Here is a 26,258-nt window from a genome sequence, read left to right on the forward strand (position 1 = left end):
TTCTCTTAAAGTCACAGCAGCCTCAGAATGTATTACATACATAAGAACTAGTCCTACATCTAGATGTAATGGCTTTCAAACCTTTATGAGCATAGGAAACACCTGTTGAGCTGGTTTAGAATATAGCATTTAGGGCCTTGCCTCCAGATAGTCTGATTTCACAGAAACCTGCATTTTAAAAAAATCACCCCAAATAGTTATGATGAAGGTGATCTATGTACGACACTTAGAGAATCAGTGATGGAAAATTCACCAAGAACAGCCACAGGCAGGCCAGAAGAATGGCCCTGCCCCTCTACTTTTAGGATTAAGCAGAAGCTGGCCCTAGATCTCACCAGTTACCAGTGATCTTGGGCATTTTTAGCATCATGTGCATTGCTTCACTGTGATACCATCTTGCTGGCACAGCCATGGAAAGCCATGAGTTAATGCATCTCCCCATGTAACAAACCTCCCCTAGGACTCTGGTCCACACCTATCTCTGCTAGATTCTCTGGCATTGCAAGAAATTCTTCAGACTGCCCCAAGAGATTCGTTCCAATCTAGGGGCTCCTTATCCCCAGCTCAGAGCTGGATTTGGCTCTTGCTTGGAGGCGGGAAGCCCTGCTGGGCCAGGGCTTAGAGGGGCTCACAAGAAATCAAAGCAAGCATTCTCCGCCTCTCTCCTACAGCCCTGCATGCATCTTCTCTGATCCCTTGCCTGAGTGGGGGGTGGCATTCCAAAAGCTCATTACTGGCTTACATACTTTGCCTTAAATCAGCTCTTAAATGCCCTGGGATGAACAGCCCTAAATAGGAAAGAAAAAAAAAAAACAAGTTTCTTGCAAGTTCACAGATATGCTTGGTGCTTTCTGTCAGGCTAGGGTGTAGCCTTCTCTGTTCTAAATTTGATTTTCTGAGTCTTTAAGGAAAAATGGCTACTGGTCCCCTGGACGCTGATTGCTTCAGCATCTGAATCTGCTCCATCACTTCTACCTCCACCCACTGGTCCACGTCCAGTGGGTAGAGGTAAAGGGGATGGAGATATCATTTATCTTCAAAGGATAAAACTGCTCTGAGAGATCTTTGCTTTCTTAGAAACACTGCTGGAAAGTTGTTTCTTTAGACTACATTAACAGAAGTACCATCTCTAGGAAGACAAGGTGGTAATAACTAACATCAAATGAGCAGTTCCTATGTACCCTGTACATGTCTTAGCCAACTTCATCCTTGTAACAAACCTGGAAGGCAGGCACTGTTATCACTCTTATTCCCAGGTGAACCAGTTGAGGTTCCAAGAAGTCTTTTGTGCAAGGTCATGCAGAGTTGAGGCCCCCAAGTCGGTAGACTTCAGGAGCCAGACCCTCAACCCCCTCACTGCCTCCCGCCTCATGCTGCACTGAGCAGACCATACCCGGATGGTCATGTTCAGGTTGGCTATCAATGCAGACCACGCTGGGCATATTCAGGGGACGGATACTCAGAACTATATAACATAAGGAATAGAGGAAGGACTGGAGGATGTATTAACATGAAGAAAAGGTAGACTCATGGCAGGAGATGAGCAGGGTAAAGAGGTGCAAGACATAAAAAGCCAATTTCATATACATGAAGATTTATCAAGAGCCAGAAGGCCCTCTATGGGTCCAAGAGTTACAAGGCCTAATGAGGTGAATTAATGCCAGCATATAAGGAAAAGCTTTTGAATACTCAGAAGTGTCCAAAAAGGGGTCAGGCTGCCTTGGAAAGTAGTAAGCTCTCCATCAGAGGCTTGGCAACTTCTTATTAGGGATGGTATGAGTATCTCAAGTACAGATACAGATGACCCAAATAACCACTGAGGCACTTCTGACCCCAAGTATAAGAGATTCTATTGTAACGCACAGGAGTCCATCTCAAGCAGCACACTGAGCCATCTCCTTGATAAACCTAAAGGTAGGTATTATTCCTCCCAGATGCTGTCTTCTTAGCCTGGGATGCAAAAGCCATAGGATCACTTCACGTCCAACCCCCATCAGGTGATCTGTCATGAATCACAAGTTATTGGAGCCAGATGGAACTACAGAGCTAAAAGATACATGAAGACACCGAGGCCTGCAGACAGGGACTAACTTTCCAAGGTCACAGAGCTAACAAGTGTCAGAGTCAGGCTAGACCCAGGACTCACAAGTTGAGCTCACAATTAGTTCCACTTCCTACACCACCTGGATCATGAGTGTCAAGAATGAAGGACCTTTGGCAGTCTTCTCATCCAGCAGTGACAAACAGGATGCACTTCATGTGCCAGCTTTTAATTCATTGGTCATGGTTTCCTGAAGTGCTGTTGTCCAGAAATATTCTGAGGCCATATCTGGATCCAGTGGACATGAGTGAATCATTTATGATGTCTGCTTTGGACACAGGTGGGGAAGTGACAACCTGTGTACCAAGGGTTTGGCAGCCTTGAGCTAATCCATCTTAATGACTTTCTGCACATGCTGCCTGGAAGTGATATTAATATTGCAAAAGAGATTATAATGTGTGATAACGTTGTAGTACCTCACTTATTAAAATAATTCAAGGATCCATCTTTGATGGTTAAACCCACTGTCTATGTCTGTTTGTGTTCCTACAAAGGAGAACCCAAGGCTGAGTAATTTGTAAAGAAGAGGTTTATTTGGCTCACAGTTCTACAGACTGTCAAGAAGCATGGATCCAGTGTCTGCATCTGGTGTGGACCTCAGGCTGCTTCCATTCATGGCAGAAAGTGAAGAGGAGCTGGATGTGCAGAGATCACATGGCAAGAAAGGAAGCAAGGGAGAGGGGGAGATGCCAGGCTCTTTTAAACAACCAGCTCTTGGGGGAACTCTCTTAGGACTAATAGAGTGAGAACTCACTTCTTACCTGGACAATGGCACCAAACCATTTATGGAGAATCCACCCCTGTGACCCAAACACCTCCCATGAGGCCCCACCCCCAACACTGAGGATCAAATTTCAACAGATGAGATGAGGAGGATCAAATATCCAAACTATAGCACCCACCTAACGAATGCAAAAGATGTGCAGTGACCTTAAGCCCCAACAATATAGAGCAGATGACAGTTGATATGTAGATAGTTTGAATGACAGTTTAAGGTAGCAGGTTGGCAGGTGGCTCCACCATATACTTGTTGAGTAGTCCTGAGCAGGTGTTTCTCTGAGATCCTTTGGCTGGTCTGTAAAATGAGAGATAATGACTCTCTCACAAGGTTGCCATGAGAAATAGAGAAAATACCAAGTACTCAGCATAGCCTAACATTTAGCAGTTGCTCAATAAATGATAGGAAGTATTGGCTTTATAATATTGCATCTACCCCCTTCTCTCTATGTTAGAACCTTTCCAGGCATTTAAAAGGTGAGCAGCAAAGGCCACCCATAAATGTGCTGCTAGAGAGCACATAGGTCACCAATCTCAGACTATTGGTCTGAGGCAGATTTTTGGAGTCTCTTATTCCCGAAGAGATCCAGGGACCTGCTTTGCAGGTGACTGAGAAGACCAAGGCCAGGAGGGAAGGCCAAAAAGCTCCAAGCAGATCACTTATCTGTATAACACTTTTCACCTTCCAGTCCTTCTTCATGGAGTTTCCCAAAGTACACACCCACAGTCCTACAAATTGGGGAAGAGCCAGAGGCAATAAATGTGTGGGAGCAGTCAGCTGAGAACTGGATGTTGAAGGATTGTACATTTTCTTGAATTACATGGGAGCAAACTGCCTCCTGAGCCTGCTGTACCCAAATTTATCAAAGCACAAAGCATTTTTAAAGACCATTTAATAAACTGATTAAATGTATTTGACAACGGAGCTAGAAAGCCAGTCAATTCATGTCTTCATCACTCCTGAGAAGTTGCCTACACGATAAAAATGGAAGTTCTCTGAATCTGTGGGTGGGAGGGCTTTCACTCTCCTAATGGAGGAGGGAAAACCAGGGCATGCTGGGAGGCCGTCCCAGCCCATCTTCCTGACATCGCTGCTTTTCCTGTACTGTGCTAAGTGCAGAGAAGGTCCAGCGCCCTGCCTGTTTTTCACTTGCATTCTTGTCTCCAGACTTTCTTTCTCTCCCCACCCTTCTCATGACCACTAGCATCTAAGTTTATCGCTTCCTCTCTGTTACCTCTGTATCCTCCAAGTACATGATATACCTCTACAGCTCATCTGCCAATGCTGCAAAGTTTACTTATTTATAACCTTCCCAGTGCCTTGTGTATATTAGATGCAGGAGTAAGATGTTGTGATCGAGATCGTGGTGGTGATGATGATGATGGGGAGGGAGAGGAAGAGGAGGGGGAGAAGATTAGGCAAGAATGTAAAAGCCCTCATGGGTCTTGGAAATCACAGCATCTAAGTTCTCTCCTTCCTCTCCCCTCCTTCCCCTGGTTTAGAGATGCTTTAGCTAGCCTAAGGGCAGAATAGCCTGCCTCTTCATTTGTTCTTCAAAATCCATTGTTTGGGGCACAAAATGATCTTCAGAGTTTAGGCTCTTGAGGCTCAATAAACTTAAAATCTTTTCTCAGCTTTCCTGTTAGATCACCCACCCCCGAGGCAATGAATGCTGCTGAGCTGATGGAAAAAGGGCGGTGAGAAACTCCAGAAATATTTTCCGGCAGTGTTTCTTCTTTATCTCTGTCCCCCAGTAGCTCAGTGAGGTAAAGATAATCATCAGTTTTTAATTTTTTATGTTATTATTGTGGCTGCATAACAGTTGTACATATTTATGGGGTTCATGTGATACTTTGATACCAGCATGTAATGTGTAATGATCACATCAGGTCGTTATTTTAACACTGAGGATATGGATGCTCAGAATGGACATTGGCCTCACTGAGGTAATGCAGGGGTAAATGGAGGCACTGGATGGGGCTGGAACCCCCATCTGTCTGACTCAACTACCTGAAGATGGAATATGGGTTGTGCTAACTAAATTAATGAGTAGAGGCTGCCTGAGGCGCTGCCTTGAGAACAGTTCTGAGGCTGCATCTGAACTTGGTGAGAAAAGAAGTGCTGTGATCTATTAGTAATGTCTGCCATGGGCACTGGACCTGGGAGCAGCCACGGGAGCCATGCCATGATCCCCAGACTCCGTGCTTCTTAGAAATTCTGATTGTTGTTTGTTCAATAGATAAATGAATGCAGAAACTGCTTCCTTAATGTAGGCTTAGAGAAGGGGATTGGAGTAGGAAGCAAGAGAGGCAGCTCCTGGGCCTGTTCATGGTGTGTCGGGAGGCCAGGCTGGACAGTAAGAGATAAGAACGGCAGGGGAGATTGAGACCAGAACTTGGAAAAGCTTACAATGCCAAACTAGGAAGCCTGAGGGTCGTGAAAGGTTTGGGCTCAGAGGAATAAGTAAGAAAAGCTGCATTTAACACCAGGAATCTGGCAGGGACACGTAGAGTCAAGGAGACAGAAAGACCAGCTTGGAGAGTGGTTGAGTCTGCACGAGGCGTGGAGGGGTGCCCAGCCCCCGGCAGAGGCAGGTCACAGTGACAAGGACAGAAAGCCTGGAGGGACAACTCCGGGGACTTAGTGGCTGGCAGAGGGGACTCTTTTCCCCAGTGACTCATATGCTCCTTTTTTTCTAGCTGAATTTCAGTTTTATTTTCAGCTCCAATCAGTGGCAATAGAGGAATCCGTGTGCTTTATTTCTCCTGCTCCACATTCCTCCCCACAGTCTCCCAGAGGCTAACATTCTCCCATCCTCCAAAGAGAAGAAATCCACAGCCCAGAGCAGAGCAGGCCTGGTGGCTTCATGACAGTCATCAGTGTGGCCCCATCTACTAGTGCTCTCCAAGTCCAGCAATGTGTTAACCCTTTACAGGCATTATCCCATGTAACCCCTAACAGCCCTAGGAAGTAGACACTACTAGTACCTATAATTCACAGGTAAGAAAACTGAGGTTCAGAAAGGCAAAGTAACTGGTTGAGGGTCACACAGCTAAGAAGTCGCAAAGCCAGAGTCGAAAATATTCAAAACCAAAAAGAAAAAAAAGAAAAAAAAATCTGAGTTGAAAGCTTGCTCTCTTAACGATATAGCTCTGGCCCAATTAAGCTATAAAATGTCACAGGTAGCAGTGTCCTTAGAGAACACCTAAGCTGAGAACTCCCTCATTTTTCAGAGGGGGGGATCTGAGGGTCAGTGAGGAGATCTGTTTTGTCCAGGGTCATCAGTGAGTTAGGGGATGAGCCGGGACTTGAACCCTACAGTGGAAGAAATGTGAGCCACAGAACTTACCATGTTGCTTGTTGACTTCCTCTGGCACATTCCACTGTATTTTCCCCGAAGCCTCTCCCCAGCCTCTCAGCCCCACTCCTCGTGGCTCCACTCCCTATTACTCAGAGGTGTTCAGCTCCACCCACTAGTCTCCCAGCATGGCAGTTTCTGCCCATTACAGGCCTACAATACCTGCGAGCCTGTCAGCCCCCTGCCTCCCACCTCTCACCCCCCGCCCCGGAAATGGTTCTGTTGTTACCGGACCAATCAGGGCACCCAGCAGCGTCTAGAACTTGGGGCTGATAATGGCATCGTGAATAGAGGAAATTAGAGCTGAATGCATTCACAGTGAATATTCCTCCCAGGGCAGACGGGGCCATTCGCTGAGTGGCACATGACAGATGTTCACATGGAACCCAGTCGCAGGGCCACCTTCACTCCTTTCACCAGCACGGCTGTCTCCCAGCCCTGGCCGTGCTTTAGAGCACTCTGCATCCCCAACCCTGGCCCTCCAAGCCCTGCAGGAGCCAGTGGTTCTGCATGTCTCCTCTAGTACCTCTCAAGCACATGGCCTTGGCCCTGAAGAGCGTAGTGGTTGATCGCACAGCCTTTGGGGTTAGATGTATCTGCTTCCAAGTCCCAACCTTCTGCCTCACTGCTGGGCAGGCCGGGCAACATGCCTGAATCTCAGTGCCCCCATCTGTAAAATGGGGATAATTAATACCCACCCCACAGTGGTCATGTGAATTCAATGTGATTATGAGTGTAAAGAGTTTGTCCCCATGCCTGGTATACAGCAGGTGTTCAATAAACGATGGCTATTATGATCATCGATTGCTCTCTGTCACCTGTGTATCCTCCAAATGCATGACTGGCCTCTGCAATTCATCTGCCTCAAAGTTTACTTCTTTGTAACCTTCCCAGTACCTTGCATATATTAGGTGCAGGATTAAGGTGTTGTGATTGAGATGATGGTGACGATGATGATGAAGATGCTGATGGGGATGCAGAGGAGGGGGAGAAGATTAGGCAAGAATGTAAAAGCCCTCATGGGTCTTAGAAATCACAAGAGGGCAATTTGTTGCAGCAGAAATTGAATTACCTTTGGAGTTATACAGATGTGCTGAAATTTACTGTCAGCAACAGGAAACTCACACACCCTGCCGGGTCCATGCCACATTGTTCTGTGTGGCTGGGGAAAGTTACCTCATCTCTCTGAGTCTGGGTCTCAGTCCCTCATCTTCTCCAGGGCTGTTGTTAGGAGTGAATGAAGCCATGCTCACAAAGTGCTTAGCACAGTACTTGGCCTAGTGGGTGTTCGATTCACAGTGGATATTGCTGTTGCTACTCTTGTCAGTATATTTCTGATCTCCCCAACTTACAGATCACCACTCCCCTTGAGAGCAGAGTTGTACACTTCATTGTGTGTGCTTCTGGAGGGCAGGGATGGAACATCCATTCATTTAGTCAACAACTGTGGATTGAGCAGTGTCTCTATGCCTGCCACTGTGCTCAGCTCTGACCACACAGCAGTGAACAGAATAGATGAGCTCTCTCTGTCCTCATGGAGCTCACAGCCCAGTGGGGAAGACAGATATATAGGCAACAAGTTTTTAATTGCAAGTAAAGGTGCCAGCCCCAAAAAACACCAAGTCACAGGATACAGAACAATGTGGGATGGACCGGGCAGGGTGTATGAGTTTCCTGTTGCTGCTGTAACAAATTATCACAAATTCAGTGGCTTAAAACTAATAAAAATGGGCCGGGTGCAGTGGCTCATGCCTGTAATCCCAGCACTTTGAGAGGCCAAGGTAGGCAGATCACCTGAGGTCAGGAGTTCAAGACTAGCCTGGCCAACATGGTGAAACCCTGTCTCTACAAAAATAGAAAAATTAGCCGGGTGTGACTGCAGGCACCTATAGTCCTAGCTACTCCAAGAGGCTGAGGTGGGAGAATGGCTTCAAACCATGAGGTGGAGGTTGCAGTGAGCCGAGATTGTGCCATTGCACTCCAGCCTGGGCAACAGAGCGAGACTCTGTCTCAAAAAAAAAAAAAAAAAAAAAAAAAGCTAATATAAATGTATTATCTTGCAGTTCTGGAGGTCAGAAGTCCAAAATGAGTCTTATGGGACTCAAATCAAGGTGTTGTAGTGCTGTGTTCCTTCCGGGGGCTCCAGGGGAAAGTGTTTCCTTGCCTGTTACAGCTTCTGGAGGCCACTCACATTCCTTGTCTCACGGCCCCTTCCTCCATGTCCTAAGCACATCCCTCCAATCTCTGCTTCTGTCATCACATGGCCTTCCTCTGACCCTGAGCCTCTGCCTCCTTCTGAGAAAGACCCTTGTGATTACATCAGGTTCACCTGGATAATTCAGGATAATCTCTTCATCTCAAAATCCTTAAGTTGATCACATCTGCAAAATCTCTCTTACCATGTAAGGTAACATATTCACAGCTTCTGGGGATTAGGACATGCATCCCTAGGGAACCATGATTCAACCTAGCATGGGGGAACCCACTACAGGCAGGTGTTGTCCTTGCCATCGCCAGCTCAGTGCTTGGCACAGTAGAGGCCATGGATATTCATTCAGAGAGAGCATGCACTGAGGCAAGCCTGACCTCAAGATCAAGACAGGAAATTGGCTTTCATGGGTTAAGGACCTGTTACTTTGCTCATCAATGTATCCTTAATCATCAGAGGTCAGATCTGCTGGAGAGTGCAATCTTTCAGTTTCCAAAAGTAAGACTGGATGCCTTAGAACTTAAAGTCAGGGAGGTACCCAAGAAAGCAATCATAGACTGAGTCCCCATGCAGTGCACTTTCTCGGATGGACAATTTCTCTGTTCTGACAGTCACTGTTGACTCCATTTCTCAGATGAGGGACCGAGGCACAGAGAGGTGCAGTCAGTCACCTGAGGCCACACAGTCAGGAAGTGGAAATCCATGGAAACTCATCATCAGCTGCCTCGCATCAGGGCCAGTGCTCTTTATCTCCACCCCACACATTATAAAGCCACTCAGCTTTACACTCAAGGGAACTTCCTATTTCCCTACTGGATTATATGTATAATTTGTAGTATTGCAAGATTTGAACAGAAGCGAGCAGCAGCTTGTAGTTGTGTGTGTCACTCACTCCTGCCTGTGGGGATGCCACGTGATTGTTTAAAGGGTTGGAATCAGGAGAAAGGCAGGCTCAGAGCAGGACCAAGAGAGAGCCCACCCCTCGCCTCCCCAAATCCTTCAGCTTCCTGAAGTGTGGCTGCTGGGTAGCAGCTCCCCCAGGGAAGAAAATATAAGATATTCCCAAGGGACCCTGGAAGCTTTATCCCAAGGCTTCACATGTGTAGGCTGTTTCCTGTGATTCGGTCTGGCTGTCAATGATCTAAGATTGAGAGCCAAGGTCAGTGAGGGGGGAAAAGGGACATGTAGTGCAGGGGTTCAGCATCCAGGCCTAGGACTTAGACTGAGGCTCTTTACCCTCCTCTGTTTCTTGCTGATGGCCTTAGGCAAGTCGCTTCCCCTCTCTGACCCTCAGTTTTTCCCTCTGATGAAATGGGTGTAATAATTGTGCCTACCTCTTCAGGGTTGCTGTGGGATAAAATGAGCTCATACTTACTTCTTTTTTTTTTTTTTTTTTTTGAGACAGAGTCTCGCTCTGTAGCCCAGGCTGGAGTGCAGTGGCGCGATCTCGGCTCACTGCAAGCTCCACCTCCTGGGTTCACACCATTCTCCTGCCTCAGCCTCCCAAGTAGCTGGGACTACAGGTGCTGCCACCATACCTGGCTAACTTTTTTTGTATTTTTAGTAGAGACGGGGTTTCACCATGTTAGCCAGTATGGTCTCGATCTCCTGACCTCTTGATCCACCCGCCTCGGCCTCCCAAAGTGCTGGGATTACAGGCGTGAGGCACCGCACCCAGCCAGCGAGCTCATACTTTCATGTTAGCATTAGCATAGTTCCTGACAATAAGAACCAAATACGTGGTATCTGCTATTTTCTGTTTTAATTAGGTATTCAGAGTCTATGTTAAATTAATTAACATATATACTTATGGAACACCTACTCAGTGCCAGGTATTGTTGTAGATGCCAGGAGTACAGCAGGGAATAAAACAACATCCCTGTCCTCGACACAAACACACAAGTAAATAGAGAAGGTCAGAGATAAATGCTGTGCAGGAAAACAAAGCAAAGTGAGGGATGGAGAGTGCGGAAGGTTGGGGCACTTTTGTTTCAGATGAGTGTCAGGGAAGCCCCCTTGGAGGAGGCACTGTAAGGGCACAGACTCGAATGAAAGGAGTATGTGAAGGTGCTTAAATTGTTTCTGTTTGGTTTGGTGTGGTGTGATGTGGTGTGGTGTGGTGTGGTGTGGTGTGGTGTGGTGTGGTGTGGTGTGGTGTGGTGTGATGTGATGTGGTGTGCGGTGCGGTGCGGTGCGGTGTGGTGTGGTATGGGTTGAGGCTGGCCTTAGGAGCCTGTTGGCCTTCCAGGCCAGTCCTGAAGCCCAGCCCAGAGCACCAGACTCTGCAGTCAGTCAGTGGAGGGCCCACATCTCAGCCAATGCATGGCTTTGGGTGGTGACTTCATCTCCCCTAGTGTTCCTTTCCCCCTCTGCAAAATGGGAATGGGGATGGCTCAGAACTCCCAGCGGGAGTTAGGAGGAATAATGTATAGGAAGTATGAGCAGAGTGCCTGGCCTGGAGCATAGCGCATGGCCGATCATAGGTAAGTGCTGGTGTTGATTTTATTGGACACAAGTTTGGAAACTCAGAGCCTGCAGGGATGGCCTTGAAGGTAAAGAAGAGGTAGTTGGGAGTTTTACACTTCCCAGGACCTACCCTCAGAGAGACAGGGGTCATTCCAGAGTATCTGGATACCCAGTTTGGGCCAAAGATACTTCCAGCCAGGGCACTCGTCAACCACCTTGATATTTGCCCAACACAGCTCCTCTGAGGAGAGCTTGAGGTCTGGGGGCCCCATGCTGCTGATTAAACTGATGGCTGGGAGGCAGGTAAAGCAAGAGTGGAGAAGTGAGTCTGGAGGTGGAAATGAGATCTCCAAGGAGGGGATGGCTGACTGAGGCTGACACGTTTCTATCCAACCGGTAGAGGATTTGCAGTTGGACTCTGCTTTATGGCTTGGTGATGGTCAGTGTTGGGGCAGGCACTAGGTCAGAGGGTGATGGGAGGGGTGAGGGAGGTTCCAGTCTCACGCTAGGCTGCCTGCACCTTCAGCCTCAGCTACCTCACCACCTAACTGGGGAGGATTAACTATAACTCTGACCATTCCTGGGACTGTCTCCATTTCAAACAATCAGATCCCCTGCCAGACTGTATTAGTCAGAGCAGTGCAAATGCTGTAACAAACAGCCCCAAGTGTCTGTGGCTGAAACCATGACAGTTTACTTCTCGTTGCCATGGCAGCCAGTGCAGCTCAGAGTGGATGGGCATGTCTGCATCTGCATGCATGCAGGCTCCTTCCATCCTGAAGCTCCCCATCCTCGCCCTTACACTGCTGGCTGGGAAAGGGAGCCTGGAGGAAGCCTCAGGTTTGTATGGGGCAGGCCTGGAAGTGAGGTGCACCACCTCCACTCCTATCCCCTGGGCCAGAACTTGGGCATCTGACCACACAGACTTCCCTTGGAAGGAGAAGAGAACAAGGACACTGTGCACCTTTGTCAAGCCAACCACCATGCCCATGGAGCATCTACTATGTGCAGAGATGTCAGCTCCTCCAGACAATGTTCTCTGTCATTTTCCATCTGTTCAAGCTGAGTCAGAGGTGTGTACATGTGCAAATGCGAACAATCCAGGCTCACTTCCTGCTTCCCTGAGTCCTAGGCTAACCTCTAGCACAGCACAGATCACAAGAGTGATGACTGCCTGACCGTGTGTCCTTCCTCCCAGTAGAGTTTGAGCCACATGGAGGCAGGGGCCACAGCCTGTATTCTCAGGACTTGGACAGCGGTGGAAGCTCTACTTAGCTTGCTGAAGAGGAAAGGGGAAAGAAAGGAGAGTGAATTGGCACTTGTCGAGATCTCCCAGTTCGTTTTTTAAAAATTGTGGTAAAATATATGTAACAGAAAATTTACCATCTTAACCATTTTGGAGTGCGCAGTTCAGTACCACCAAGTACCTTCACGTTGTTGGACAAACTTCACCACCATCTGTCTCTAGAATGTTCTTCATCTTGCAAAACCAAAACTCTGTACCCATTAAACGACTCCCCATTCCCTCTTCCCCCAGCTCCTAGCAACTACCATTCTATTTTCTATCTCTACAAATTTGACTACTCTAGGTACCTCGTATAATTGGAATCAACAGTATTTGTACCCTGGCTTATTTCATTTAGCATAATGTCCTCAGACTTTATTCATGTTGTTGCATGTGTCAGAATTTCCTTCCTTTGTAAAGCTGAATAATTTTTCATTATAAGTATATACCACACTTTGTTTATCCATTCACTTGTCGATGGAAATTTGGGTTGCATCCACCTTTTTTTGCTATTGTGCATAATGCTGCTATACACATGGCTGTGCAAATATCTAATATTAGTCCCTGCTTTCAGTTCTTTTGGATATGTATCCAGAAGCAGAATTCTTGGATCATATGGTAATCCTATTTTTAATTCTTTTAGGAACTGCCATATTGTTTTCCACAGCAGCTGCAGCATTTTACATTCCTACCAGCAGTGCACAAGAGTTCCAATTTCTCCATATCCTCACCAACACTTGTTATTTTCTGTTGCTGCTGTTTGTTTTTTTATTAATAGTCATCCTAATGGGTGTGAAGTTGTTTCTCATTGTGGTTTGCTTTGCAGGTTTTGATTTGTAGATTTTCCTGATGATTAGTGATGGGTGCATCTTTTCATGTTCTTACTGACCTTTTATATATCTTTCTTGGAGAAATGTCTGTTAACTCTACTCATACTTTTGTAAATAGTATTCCCAATCCTTCTAACTCCCCAATGAGGTGGATATTAGTATGTTCGTGTTACAGTAAAGCCAACTAAACCTTAGAAAGACTAGGTTAATTATCCAAGGTCACACAGCTAGAAAATGACACAGCTTGTATTGAAACATCAGTTTTTCTCTTTCCAAACCTAACGCACATTTCATGAAACCTACATTATTGCACCATAACATCATGTTGATTTACTTATCTGCTCTCCTGCCTGTCCCATCTACTACATAAATTGAGTGTGGTTTGAAATCAGAGACTACTTCTCATCTTTGGCACAGTGGCAGCCATGGATCAGAATCTCTTACATGCTGGATAAGTGGATGCAAGCTCAAGGCCACACCTAAAGTCCCCAGGTGACTTGATCACTTGAGTTAGCTGCTGGAAACCTGGGCTTCCTCTTCTGCAAAATGGGGAGAGAAAATAAATTCTCAGTGGATTGTTTAGAAGATTTGAGCAAAGACCTCTGCAAAGTGCTAAGCATGTGGCTAGCATGTGGCAGGTGCTGCCTAAATAGTAGAAATTAACACTGCCATGCTTATAAGCTCCGGACAAACACAAGAAGCCCGAAACATAATCTGTGCCTTCTGCTTGCATTCCTCCTAGTTGGGGATGTAAAATAGCCCAGCTACAATCAAAGAAGAAAATCAAAGTCAGCACAGACTATGGATATGCTTCTATATGTGTAGATTATTTCCAGACTCATTCGGAAGAATCTGGACATACTGGTTGCCTCAGAGGTCAAGAAAATTGGCTCATTTACTTCTGTAACTTAATTTCGACTCTCTATGCTTTTACATAGTTGGAATTTGCCATGCACATATACTACATTTAAAAGAGCGTGTACGCGAGAATAATGTGGTCAGGTGGCCTGATCCACAGGTGGGTGGGAGAGACAACAGAGACAGTCTTCTGACCCCATCTGGCTTCTACCTGCCAACCCCATGTATTCTGGAGACTCTCCACACCTCCTGGCATGAAGCAGAATCCCTCTCAGGGGGTCACCTCACCTCCTTCCAGAAATGTTTAACAGAAAGAACCTACCATTGGCTTTCTCCATCCCCAGCACCTAATAGAGATATCACGGAGAGGGGAGCATTTGTAATTTACTTTGGAGGGGTGTGTGGAGGCCGAGTAACACCGCCTTCCATCTCAGTGACAACAAACTCATTCTTCACTATAATTAAAATGTCACTTTGATAAATAATTCCATCAGCCCCCTTCCACCTATGAATAGCTTCTTGCTATAATTGTTCACATTCTGCTGAATTAGAAGTATTCAAGGGAGAATTTAAGAGGTATTTAGGCAACAAAGATAAATCGGGTGTGTTTTCCACCCTCCCACAATCCCTCATTAAGCGAGACATCATCCCCGGCTGGGCAGGGCGGGGCTGGGGGGCCTCATCCCTGTGTTCTCAGTCACTCTCTCCCTGAGTGGAGGGAGCCGGAGGGGTTGCCACAGCAGCGTGGACCTCAGGAAGGGGCTGGAGTTTGGGGATACATGTTTGGGGGCCTTCCCTTCCCAGCTATTACTGTAGAAAAAGAAGAGGATGCCTGAGGTGGTGGGAAGAACGTAGGCTCTAGCTTCAGGTGAGCTTGGAAAAGTCAGTGAACATTTATGGACCTCTGTTGTATAACAGAATACAAGATATAATTCTTCATTCAATCTTGTGTCAAGAGCTTGAGTCAAGATATAATTCTTGGAAGAGACATCTGACATTGAGGGTCCCCCCTCCCATGTTATGGGACTCAAGTCTTCCAAAGGATGACTTTCCCTAGGAGACACAGCTAGAGATTGGCAACCCCAGGACCTTTGAATATTCAACAATACCCAGTAGGGTATGAAGCACCGTAGGAGTTCCGTGACTATTCCCATCTTCCCTCATTTTTGTTGGTACCTCTTCCTTCCTGATAAATCACATCTGCTGGGAATAATCCAATAATAGGATGCACAGAGCCAGCCACAGTGTGTTGGACACCTCAGGAAGTGTCCCATCTTGGGTATGTCTGTCCTCACCTTGGGTAGAAAGAGATGGTATTTGACTCTTTCCCCACCAGAAGAGGGGTATGGCCATGTGGTTACAAGAGCAGCACTTCATAGTATGAAAGCCAGGGTTCCAAGACAACTACTCCCAGTGTGGGGCTGGCATGTTAGTGACTCTAACTACAGTTTCTTTTTTTTTATTATTGTTTGAGACAGAGTCTCGCTCTGCCACCCAGGCTGGAGTGCAGTGGCACAGTCTCGGCTCACTGCAACATCCGCCTCCCAGGTTCAAGCAATTCTCCTGCCTCAGCCTCCTGAGTAGCTGGGATTACAGCTGCCCACCACCACACCCAACTAGTTTTTGTATTTTTAGTAGAGATGGGTTTTCACCATGTTGGCCAGGCTGCTCTTGATCTCCTGACCTCAGGTGATCCACCCCACTCTGCCTCCCAAAGTGCTGGGATTACAGGCATGAGCCACTGCACCCAGCCTAACTACAGTTTCTTTATCTGTAAATTGGAAATAACAATAGTCCCACTGATGAGTTATGGAAAGTAGGGCCTTCCACGGTGTCTGCATGTGGCAAACATTACCCATAGCTCCTGTTGGGTTTCTCGTGAGGAGTGTAACAGTTTGGCCATGCAGTTTTAAATGCCACATGAGCGGCTAGGTGGGAGGGAGTACCGGGCCAATCCAACTCAGTCAACACAGGTCCCCCACACCATTTCCTCTGTGGCAGGTATAAGAGTCAAGGCCCACTTCAAGGCCACCAAAGTCCAAGCATCTCCCCAGTCCTAGCTTCCCCAGAGAGTCCTGAATGACAGGTATTCATTGGTTGTGATGGGGCTTGTCTGGGGTTGGGGACTGGGGGTGAGGAGTGGGGTGGGGTTTAAAAATGGAGGGCAGCGGTACCAGTGAAGGGGAAGCAGTGATAAAACCCATTTGAGTTTCTGCTCTGAAGCAGAGTCCATTAGGATGACGGCTCCTTGGACCAGGGAGCTGCGTCTGAGGGGCTGTGCCCAGTTCCATCAGTGGTGGGATTGGGAGTGGTCCATGAAAATAACTCACATGCATGTGTGGCTGGCTGAAGAAGCAGAGAAGCCTGCATGGGCAGCCAATCCCCATGCTGAGCGCTTTGCTTGGAATGGCTCTGATAAAGAAGCCCATGATGCTGGAAGGAAGGGCTCCCTGCAGGACCCTCTGGGATGATTCCCTGCCCATCTCCAGGACCACCCTCCAGAATATGGTCTAGGATGGCCTTGAGTGCGTAGGTTTCAGAATGTGGGAAGAAGGGGCAAGGAGAAAAAAACAAGCACCTATTGATCACCTGTGTTAGCTCATTCAATCTTTCTAACATCTCTGCAGGTTAAATATTCTATCCCATTTTACAGAGGGCAAGCTAAAACTGAGAGATCTAAGATGATTTTGCCAAGGTTACACTGCTAGCAAATGGTTAGATTTGAACCCAAGACTCTAACTCCAAAGAGCCAAGCTCTTTACAGTGGATCAGTCCATCATCTCTTTACATTTTACAAGTTTGTGTCATGGTTTTAGACAATATGTTTGACATGCAAGACGCTCTGCTAACCTTAATGAAGGTGTGCATGTGAGATGCATGTGGGAGTCAGTGTCTCGGGTGGTGAGCTTCATCCAGACTCATTTCAAACTAGCTTGCACAGCAGAGCTTCCAGCAATGCAAATGCCAGGTTACTCGAGGCTCCCTCTAAGATGCAGGGACTCAAAAAGTTGTTTCTGAAGCTCCAGGGCCTTTATAACGGGGCTTCGAAAGCAGCAGAAAGAAACAGCACACAAAGTGTTTGTTTATTCTCTTGTATTCAAGAAAGAGCCAATAATTCAAACAACTAATTCTAGAAGAATAGAATTCCCCCAGTCCCCACCTTAATACAGGCAGGCTCACCTGTCCATTGGTAAGTCAGCACATTTCTCTGTGAACACTGATGCCCTGTGCCCATCACACCCATAGTATCAACTGTCAGGACAGCTGCCAGATGAAAGTGCTGTCATCATGGGCAGCTGCCTCTTGGACCAGGAGCTAAGGGAGAAACTCCTTCCTTAGAGACCCACGCCAGACTGCAGTGTTGTTTGAGAGACCTGAGTCTCTCAGGGATGTGTTCTGGAGATCTGCGAGCAGGACTGTATCCATGAATCAGGACTCTGTCTTAAGCCACAGTAGGGAAGAGGAATGGCACAATAGAGGAAACACCACCCCACGTAGCATGGAGCCATGGAGAGAGCATGAGTTTAGAAGCCAGGAGCGCCAGCTCTGCCAGCTACTGGCCAAACCACTGGGGGCCAGTGCCTCGGCCATCTGTGAACAGACACTGCTGGATAATGATCTCAAAGCTCTCATCCTGTCTAACACCATCCAGTTTGAGACCTGCTTAATCAGTGGGGTTCTGGGAGGCCAGAGCTGGAGCTATGATCAGGGCTAAAATGCATACAGAAAGCACAGATGCTAGAAGCCAAATGGAGGTTGTCCAGGGGGTCCCCAACCATGGGACTGGAAGCAGATGTCAAAATCAAGGATCAGAGCTTCTGGGAAGCAGACACAGCAAGGGAACATGAGTAGTGTGAGCTCACGCTGAGTGAGCACTGGCTGTGCACCAGTATTGAATAGGTATTAACTCCCTTCAGCTGCACAATTATGCTGTAGGTGAGTTTTACCTTGGGAAACCAAGGCACAGAATTTAAGTAACATATTGAAGCTCATGCAGCTGCTAACAGGGAAGGCCAGGGTCTGAACCCAGCTGATCCGGCTCCAGCATCCGAGCTCTGAACCACTGGTCTATCCTGCCTCTGTTAGGACTTGGTCCAATGTCATCATCCTAGAAGGAACATTTAGGCCCGCACGGTGGGTGGCTGGTTCAATCCAGTTTAAAGGCCAGGAGCAGGACAGTGACTTGCAGCTGCAGCAATCCTATGACTCAAACCAAAGCAGCTGTGACAAATAAAGGGACTGACTCTCATTCTCCCGTGCTAGGGAAGGATGAGCTATCAGGCCTTGTTGCAGGCTGAGTCAGTCATCCCACAAACCACCTAAGTGAAACCTCTTCACTGAGCCTTATTTCCTGAGCGCTCTCCCTTTATCTGTGCTTGCAAAGAGGCGTCTCCCTCCATGCCAGCCAACCCACCCACCCCCGCACACACATACCACCTCTGGCTGGAACTGACGACCATGGGTTTTAGAAATGAGATAAATCTGGGAGATGAATGTATTCATGAGCCCATAAAGGGGTCATGAATCACTGGCCCCAATTACTGCCTTCAATCCTGACAGGATGAATTCCCTCAAGCAGATTCTCCTTGTCAGACAACACGGGAGGCAGTGTCATGGCTGATCTAGAGCCACAGATAACATCATTATTCCATACCAGGCTGGTTTCGGTTTCCCAAGCCACCTCCACTTGATTTACAGCTCACTTCTGATGCTGGAGAGAGAGATAAATATATATATATATATATATATATATATATATATATATATATATATGAAAGAAAGAAAGAAAAGAGAGAGAGAGAAAGACACAAAGGGGAAGCTTTCATGCCAAGTGGAAACAAGACAAAATAAATGCACCGAATCCGATTTCAAAAGCTGTTTGAAAACTCTGTCCGGAATTGCTGGAAAGGGCCCCAGCATCCACAGGAAATGTATCCCTGCCAAGCCCTGTGCTACTGAACTCTGTGGCCCCCACTCCTGCCTCCCGGTGACTTGTTTAGAACTACTTCAGATCGGAACAAATCACAGCCAACTGCAGTCGCTGTCTCTAGCCCTTCAATCACTCCTAATCAGACCGTGTATTTTAGCAACAGAATCTTCCCTGGCTGAGGAGCTCATTCATCTGCCTTCCACCAGCTCGACACCCTTTGAATGGGAGATGAGGGGAAGCCACCTGCTTCTCTGGCAGCCAAGGGAAGCTGGGAGGAGGCAGGAATTGCCAGCCCTCCCTCTCTGATAGATCACCAGTGGGAGTCCAGACCAGCAGGAACCAGGAAAGGAGGTGGCAGGTCAGAGAGAAGGCACTGAAAAGGGTCATCTGAGTCCATGTTTGGTGAATGCCCACCTTGAGCTGGACACCTGGCTGTGGTCCCTGGAGTTGGATAGCCTGGGTTCAAATTCTTTAACTACCATTTTCTGGCCAACCCATTCTCTGTGTGCCCCGGACAAGGTACCTACCCTGTGAGTATAGAAGCAAACCCCCAGAAAAAAGCAAGTGGAAAAAGCAAAGAACCAGGACATGGGTGGACTCGAGTCCTAGAGAGGCTCAGGAAACTTTTATCCAAAGACACAGAGGAGCTGGTTGCAGAGGAGAGCTTAAACTCACACAGAGAGGGGAGGCCTGGGAGGTGTCAACAAGTTATCTTCTCACTTCAGAAGGGCCCTCTCGAGAACAGGGATTTCCCCTGCTCTGCAAGGGACCAGTGGACAGAAGTCAGCAGAGGCCATGTAGGGGCAGGAGCTTCCTGTCATCATAGATGCCAAAGCTGAAGCAGGATACTGAATGCAAACAGGCCCTGAGGCCATCTGATGTGCTCGTTCCCATAGCCCCGCTGTGTGTGTGTGCGCGTGTGTGTGTGTGTGTGTGTGTGTGTGTGTGTGTGTGTTTGGTGGGGTGGGAGGGGAGGCAGAAGAGGAAGAGAGGGCAGAGAGCCAAAGACTGAGGCCCCGGCCCATAAGTAAGGCAGTTTGCAGATCTCAATATCCTGTGCAGACCCACAGGCTGCCGTGGGGTTGAGGGCTGCTGGTGTCTTAACCAGAGGCAGAGACTGGAAGGAGCACCAGATAGAACTGACTCACTCCTCCTTCCTCTACCACATTTCTTCTCTGAAAATTTGCCATTAATCACAGGTGACGATGGAATCAGCAATTAACATGAGCTAAAACAAACTACTAGGCATACAGTAGCGCTCAATAAGTGCTAGCTATTATGATTACAATGGAGGGAAAAGTTGTCACCGCAGCACACCGTGCATCCCTTTTTGGTCTGGGGCCTCTCATCCAGACACAGGTAAGAAGACTCCTCACTCCCCGAGGAATCGCGTGCAATGTCATGATGGCATCTGATTTAGTTTTCCCACATCTCAAATGAGATCAGGGCAACTAGTCTTACTCAACCCTTCAGACTTACATACCCTGTGTATCAAGGAATGAGTCTCCCATCATTGGAGACAATCAAGTAGAGCCTTTCTGGTGGAGGAGAAGGAAGTAGACAAGTGGAGCTCAGAGGTGCCCTCCCACCCCGAGATTCCATGATGCTCAGGACTGTGGAATGAGCACGGGAGTGTGATGGACCTAGGGGTGGGGAAGAGCGAGAAGTTCCCGTGCAATGGACCTAGGGGTGGGGAAGAGCGAGAAGTCAGAACACTGGCAGAAGAGGAAGAAACCAGACAACCTGGAAGCCAAGCAGATGAGTTTCACCTGCATATCCTCTCCTCTTCCCCCTTCCTCCAGCGTTGACTTATGGGAGGTATTTCAGTGAGGACAAAAGAGGACTTAGTCAAACAAGCACTTATTGAAAGAAAATATATTCTACACAGCACTTCCGTCCTTTTAAAGTGATTCACTCCCTTTCCACTGCCTATTCTGTTTAGGAGAAAAGTGGAGCTTCTTAGCTTGGTGCCCAAGGTCCTCATCAATCCTAAGATGACATTTATTGAGAGCACATGATGTGCCAGGCATTGTTACAGGCACCAGCTCATTCAAGCCATATAAAGACAACCCTGTGGTGTAGGTTCTCTCAGGGTCACCCCTTCAGATGAAGAAACTGAAGCCCAGAAAGGTCAATTAACTTGCTCAGGGCCACACAGCTAGTTAGTAGTAGAGCTGGGACCTGAACTCAGGTAACTGGTCCTTACGCTACTGTTCTTAATCCCGTACTTAAGTCGACCAGCCCTGCCCTGCCTTGGCTCCAGCCTCACCTTAAGTTTCTCACCACCTGGAGTTTTTGGCCAATGCCACACGGAATGACCAGCATTTCTCTGAACACATCATGCTGTATTTAGCGTCCAGGCTTTAGCACAGCTGTTCCCTGTGCCTGGAATTCTCTTCCTTTTTTGTTTTTTTCTCACCCAAAACCAGCTTGTCCTTTAAGATCCAGCTTAATGTTCTCCTACTCTTGGGAGCCTTTTTTGGTGCCCCCAACCCCATCAGGCCACGTAGCACCTGGTAGCACCAGGTAGCACCCCATCCTCTGTGTGCCCACGCCTACCTCCTCTCTACCTCACCCACCCTGGACAGACCCTCACACCACACTTCTCACATTACATTGAAACTGATGACTGCCTTGTCATCTTCTCCCTGGAGCATGTCATTCATGGCTGTCTCCTAAGGGCCTAGCTTGGTCCCTGCATTCAGTAGGCAGGTACTATTTGCAGGGGCAGGACAGCAAATGGTTAGAGCTTAAGCTCTGCATCCAAAAGGGCCTGGATTCAGATCTCCACTCAGCCATGTGTTAGCTGTGCGACCCTGGGCAAGCTAGCCCGCTGCTCCTCACACTCCACGGTCGCTGTGAGGTGTAATGAGATCGCACATATAAATTGATTAGTGCAGGGTCTGGAATGCAGCAAGCAGATGGCCAATGAATGTTTGGCAACACTGCACTTCAGAATCGGGCTCTACCTAGACAGACTTCATATCAAATTCCAGCTCTCCCACTTACCAGCTGTGTGACCTTGAACAAGTCACTTAGCCTCTCTGAGTTTAATTCCTCCTCTATAAAATGGGCTTCATATTTTTAAAATGGCAAAGATTCTAAAGATTACAAACACAACACCTGCGTCGCTTCCCTCTGTGTACAGAGCAGCGTTGTTGCAGTTTGCGCGCTAAGGCTGTAGACTGGGCTGCAGTGCCTTTTAAATACACCAGCTCCTGGTTTGGAGCTAATGGGACACATGCCGGGGACGGCTGGGAGTCACAGCGGTGTAGAGGAGAATATGGCTTCAAGAAAATGACATTTGGAAGTAATTATGGGAGCAATGGATCGGAACCACAGTCAGCTGCCAGCTATCCCCAGAGACATCACAGGAGAAGGAGGCAGAAGCTGGAACATCATCCGGGAGCTGGACTAGAACGTCCCGGGAAACTTCAGCCTGGCTTCTGCTTTGTCCCGAAAACCCAGGGCTCCAGCTCCAGGGCTCTGTCTTAGAATGAGGCAGTTTATCTGTTCAGGGCTTCTCTTAGTTTTTAATCCCAATAGGACACATGTTGTATTAAAAAGCCATGCGAGACGGAAGAAGGAAATTGAATGAAATTTGAGGGCAGGTAGGAGCAGAGACAATAAATAATTCAGCAGTGAAGGAAGCAGAAAAAAGATTGCACTCATTTCGCCCTTCAACAATTATACTAAACACCTGCTCTGGGCCACAGAAGGGCCAGATCCCATTCCTGTGCTCAGGAAGCCCACAGGCCGGCAGGGAGAGGCTGGTTGGAATGTGTGCTTTGCACTGTAACGGAGGCATCGAGCATGGTAAGGGACTGGCGGTGGCTGCTGCCTGCGGACGTCGAGCAGGGGCCTTTGAAGAGGCAGGACCTGTCTGGAGTCTTACCTGGGCCTTGGCCCTGGCAATGGGGAATGGAGCAGGCAGCAGGGGACAGATGCTGCCAGAAACCGAGATGGTGCCGGAGGACTGGGCTGAGTCTGGGTCAAATGACACCGCCCCAGGCTCTCTGCCCTCTGGGGTGAGGCAGGAGGCTGCCTCTGTGTGTGATTCAGAGACCCTAGAATCCCAGTGGCCATCACCCCACAGCACATGCCAACCTTTCTGTGATAACTTTCTCTTGTGGAACTGTGAAAGTGTAAGACCAGCTCCTGTATAGTGCATGGCCATCCTTTGCTTTGGGGACAGTAAGTCAGTCAACACATACTTATAAATGGGGTCCTGGGCCGTGGCACTGATCTGGTCCTCCCACCTTGCCTCACACTGCCCTTCCCACTCACCACTTCCCTCCTCTGCATCTTAGCCGCAAGGGACTTTCAGACCAAGCAGACCTGGAATCAAATCCCACCGCTGGGCCTCAATGCCAGTGGAGACAGGAACAGCTGATCCCTGGAGCCCTCAGGAGGAAGAGGACGGGATGCCTGGCTTGGCTGCTGGTCTGGGGCAGGTGCCCAGTTACAGCAGTTGGAAAAATCCTCAGTGTTGGAAGGAAATTTGGAAGTGAGCATCTACCTGCCTGCCGTGCAGTTTGTGACTTTTAAGATGGTTGACAGAACATTCCCAAAGGACCACAGCGGTGACCACTGTTCTCGTTTCCCTTTGGTGGCTCACTCACTCAGTGCTGGACACAGTGGTCCTGACAAGACAGTGCTGTGGCTTCCATGAACCTAGGACAGGGATAGACTCAAGGACTAAGAACAAACCAGGAAGAAGCATCACCACAGGCTCCTTGCCAGTCACCTCATCTCACCCTCCTGGCCCTGGCGGATGGGTCTCCATATTTACAGGGGCCAGATGAAAAAACCAGAGGAGCCAGGAAAAGGAGCTTCCCCTTCCCAAGGGCGCAAGGTGAGGTGCCAGTCATGAGATGCAAGCCCTGAGCTTTCTGATTCCACTGCATGTGGTCCCAAGGTTCGGCGCCGCATCACACAGTTAGTGAGCACACTCTCCTCCCCTGGCCCCGAGTGAGCCAGCTGGATGGCAGATCAGAAAGAGAAGTCCCGGGTGCCCCCAACATGGCTAGCTCCTTCCAGGACCAGGGGCTAGGCCCCAGCTAAGGCTGGTGCACACAGCAGGGCAGGGGGCGAAGGAGTGGGATCCCACCCAGGGATCCCACCCACCCCAAACCTGCTTTCGGACATCTTTCCAATGCATAATGTGCAGATGAGGCCCTTTGATAAGGACCAAATCCCTTTCCGTTGCTTGGCAACCTGGCTCACAAGTCATAGCAGGGAAGTAATTTACAGGAATTCAAAGTGTCGCTGGAGGTTCTGCTGAGCTGAATTGCTGCAAAGAGGAACCTCAATGGTCCAAATCACACCTCTGGCGGGGAGGAGGGGCTGAAGGAAAAGCTTCCACTTCCGTCACTTGAGAGTACAGAGCCCTGAGCTCAGACTCAGCGATCGTTTTCCATTAACGGATTTACTGGTTCCATGTTGAGCTCCTGCTGTGTGGCAGGCCCTGTGCTGGGAGCCAGGGACACAGTGACAAACGAGACAGATGCCAACCCCGGATGCACAGAGCTCAAAGAGACAGAGGAGTAAACAGGGCTACACATGTGACAAGATAGGCTGTGCACAGGGGTCTGAGCAGGACCCTTGGGGCAGGAGGAGGCAGTGGAGGGATGGGAGGGTAGGGACGCAGTGGTGACCAGCTAGCCAGATAGAGAACAGAGGGTGTCCCAGCACAGGGCCACACAAGCAAAGGCAGAGGTGGGGAGAGAAGAGCCTGCCACACTCTCAGATCACCATGTGGTTGGGCCAGGGCCCCAGCTGAGGCTGAGGACACATGGAGCCCAGATCCGGCAGGGCCTTGAATGCCAAGTCAGAAAGCATCTGAAATTTAGTCTACAGATGATGTGGGTTATTGACAGCCAGGACAGGGAATGACATTTGTGTTTCAGGAAAACCACTGTCTTCACTGTTAGGGGGTAGATTCAGGGAGAAACAGGAGGTGGAGGGGAAGAAACTGTGAGTAAAGGAGTCTCTGGGGTACAGGTGAAGTTTCTGTGAAACTGGAGAAGAAAACTGTTGAGGCAAGAGTTGACAAAACTTGAAGTAGGATGGAGAGGAAGGGACAAGTTCCCCTGGCATGGTGACGGCCCGGTGGTGGGAACCAGGGAAGAGGAGGGGCTTTGCAGGTGTCTGACTTGCCCAACAGGTGGCGCCATTTACCAAGATGGGAAGGGCCGGGGAGAAGGGAGGGTTCCATTCTAGGGAAATCTCAGGTCCTCGCTATTAGGATTCTTTCGGTTGCCAGTGACTGAAACCCAGCTGAAATGGACTTGGGAACATACTGGTTCATGACATCTGGTGGAGGTGAGGTCAGGGTGCACTGGAGCCCTGGCAGCCCACTCTGATGCCAGAGCCCATGGGGACAGCGGTGTATGTTGGACACAGTAGTCCTTCAAGGGCGGGGATCGGAGGAACAGAAGAAAGGAACAGCAGATGCCCCACTGAGGCTGAGCAGAACATTTAGGATCCTTGGCCCCATCTCATTGTGCCCTTTGCTGTGGCTCATCTCACACTTGCAGGGAGAAGCCAATGGATCTCTGTGAATGGCGAGGCTTTGTATGCATAAATGTGGGCCATTTTGTCCCCAAGAATCCCTGGGGGTGAGGAAGCCACAGAAAATTGAGGTCCTATTCCCTGCTCACTCCTGGTATGTAGTGGAAGCTGGAGAGCCTTTGTCCAGGCACTGACAGCAGGAGGTTTCATGCAGAGCTGCTCAGGGCATTTCCCAGATCTGTCCCACCCCTGGGAACTGGCTCAGTGGCCTTGCCCCACCAGAAGACTGGGAACTGCACCCAAGACAGGTTCAGCCCCCCCAGGAGAGGACCTGCTGGTGTGCGTGTCCACACACAGCACAGAAGCAAGGAAGATCTGGCAAACAACCTTCAACAAAAAAGAGGCCATTTGCACTGGCCACCTGTGCTGCTTCTTTCCTGAGCAGACTTGGTTCTGAGCCAGGGGGTCTCCCTCTTTCCCTCCTCCAGCTCAGGAAAGGACTCAGGCACATGTCCACCCAACCTGCAGGAGAGTGTGGCACAGCAGTGAAAGGCCTGGGCTTCGCAGGCCAACTTGGGTTTGATTTTTGGCTCTGTGTCACAGGCCTCATGAGATGTGCTCACCTCTTAGCTCCCTCATTTCAGAATGGGGATGAGAATCTGCCATGCCCCTGCCCACCAGCCACCTGCCCACCCTCCCTTATCATGTGCCCCGACCTCCCATGGGTGCTGCTCATCTGAGTCCCTCTGTCCTCACTATGACGGCTGGTCTGGGAACCCCTCTGGCCCTACTCTGCTTCAAGACCATTTAGCCTCTGCTCCTGCTTCCTTATTTTCTTGCTATTTCCCAGCTGCAATTTCTTTGCAAGACAGGGAAAGGATTGGATATACTCAGCCCATCTTAATTTTTTTACTGTGGGAAAATACACAT

General features: G+C 48.6%; 1 protein-coding gene across 6 annotated transcripts in view, besides 1 other annotated feature; it reads left to right on the forward strand.

Annotated features, from left to right (window-relative positions):
- Positions 1-26,258, forward strand: part of KCNIP1 (potassium voltage-gated channel interacting protein 1) — a 383,146-nt gene that overhangs the window by 225,686 nt on the left and 131,202 nt on the right. The window lies entirely within an intron of this gene.
- Positions 17,844-19,043: an enhancer, noted in NCBI's record as "P300/CBP strongly-dependent group 1 enhancer chr5:170024020-170025219 (GRCh37/hg19 assembly coordinates)". NCBI's record gives its function as "activates an origin of replication core promoter dependent on BRD2, BRD4, P300/CBP, MED14 and CDK7 cofactors, with strong dependence on P300/CBP, by STARR-seq in HCT116 cells {active_cell/tissue: HCT116}" and the evidence as "EXISTENCE:reporter gene assay evidence [ECO:0000049][PMID:35650434]".

Source organism: Homo sapiens, chromosome 5 (genome assembly GCF_000001405.40).
Source record: "Homo sapiens chromosome 5, GRCh38.p14 Primary Assembly".
Classification (NCBI taxonomy): domain Eukaryota; kingdom Metazoa; phylum Chordata; class Mammalia; order Primates; family Hominidae; genus Homo; species Homo sapiens.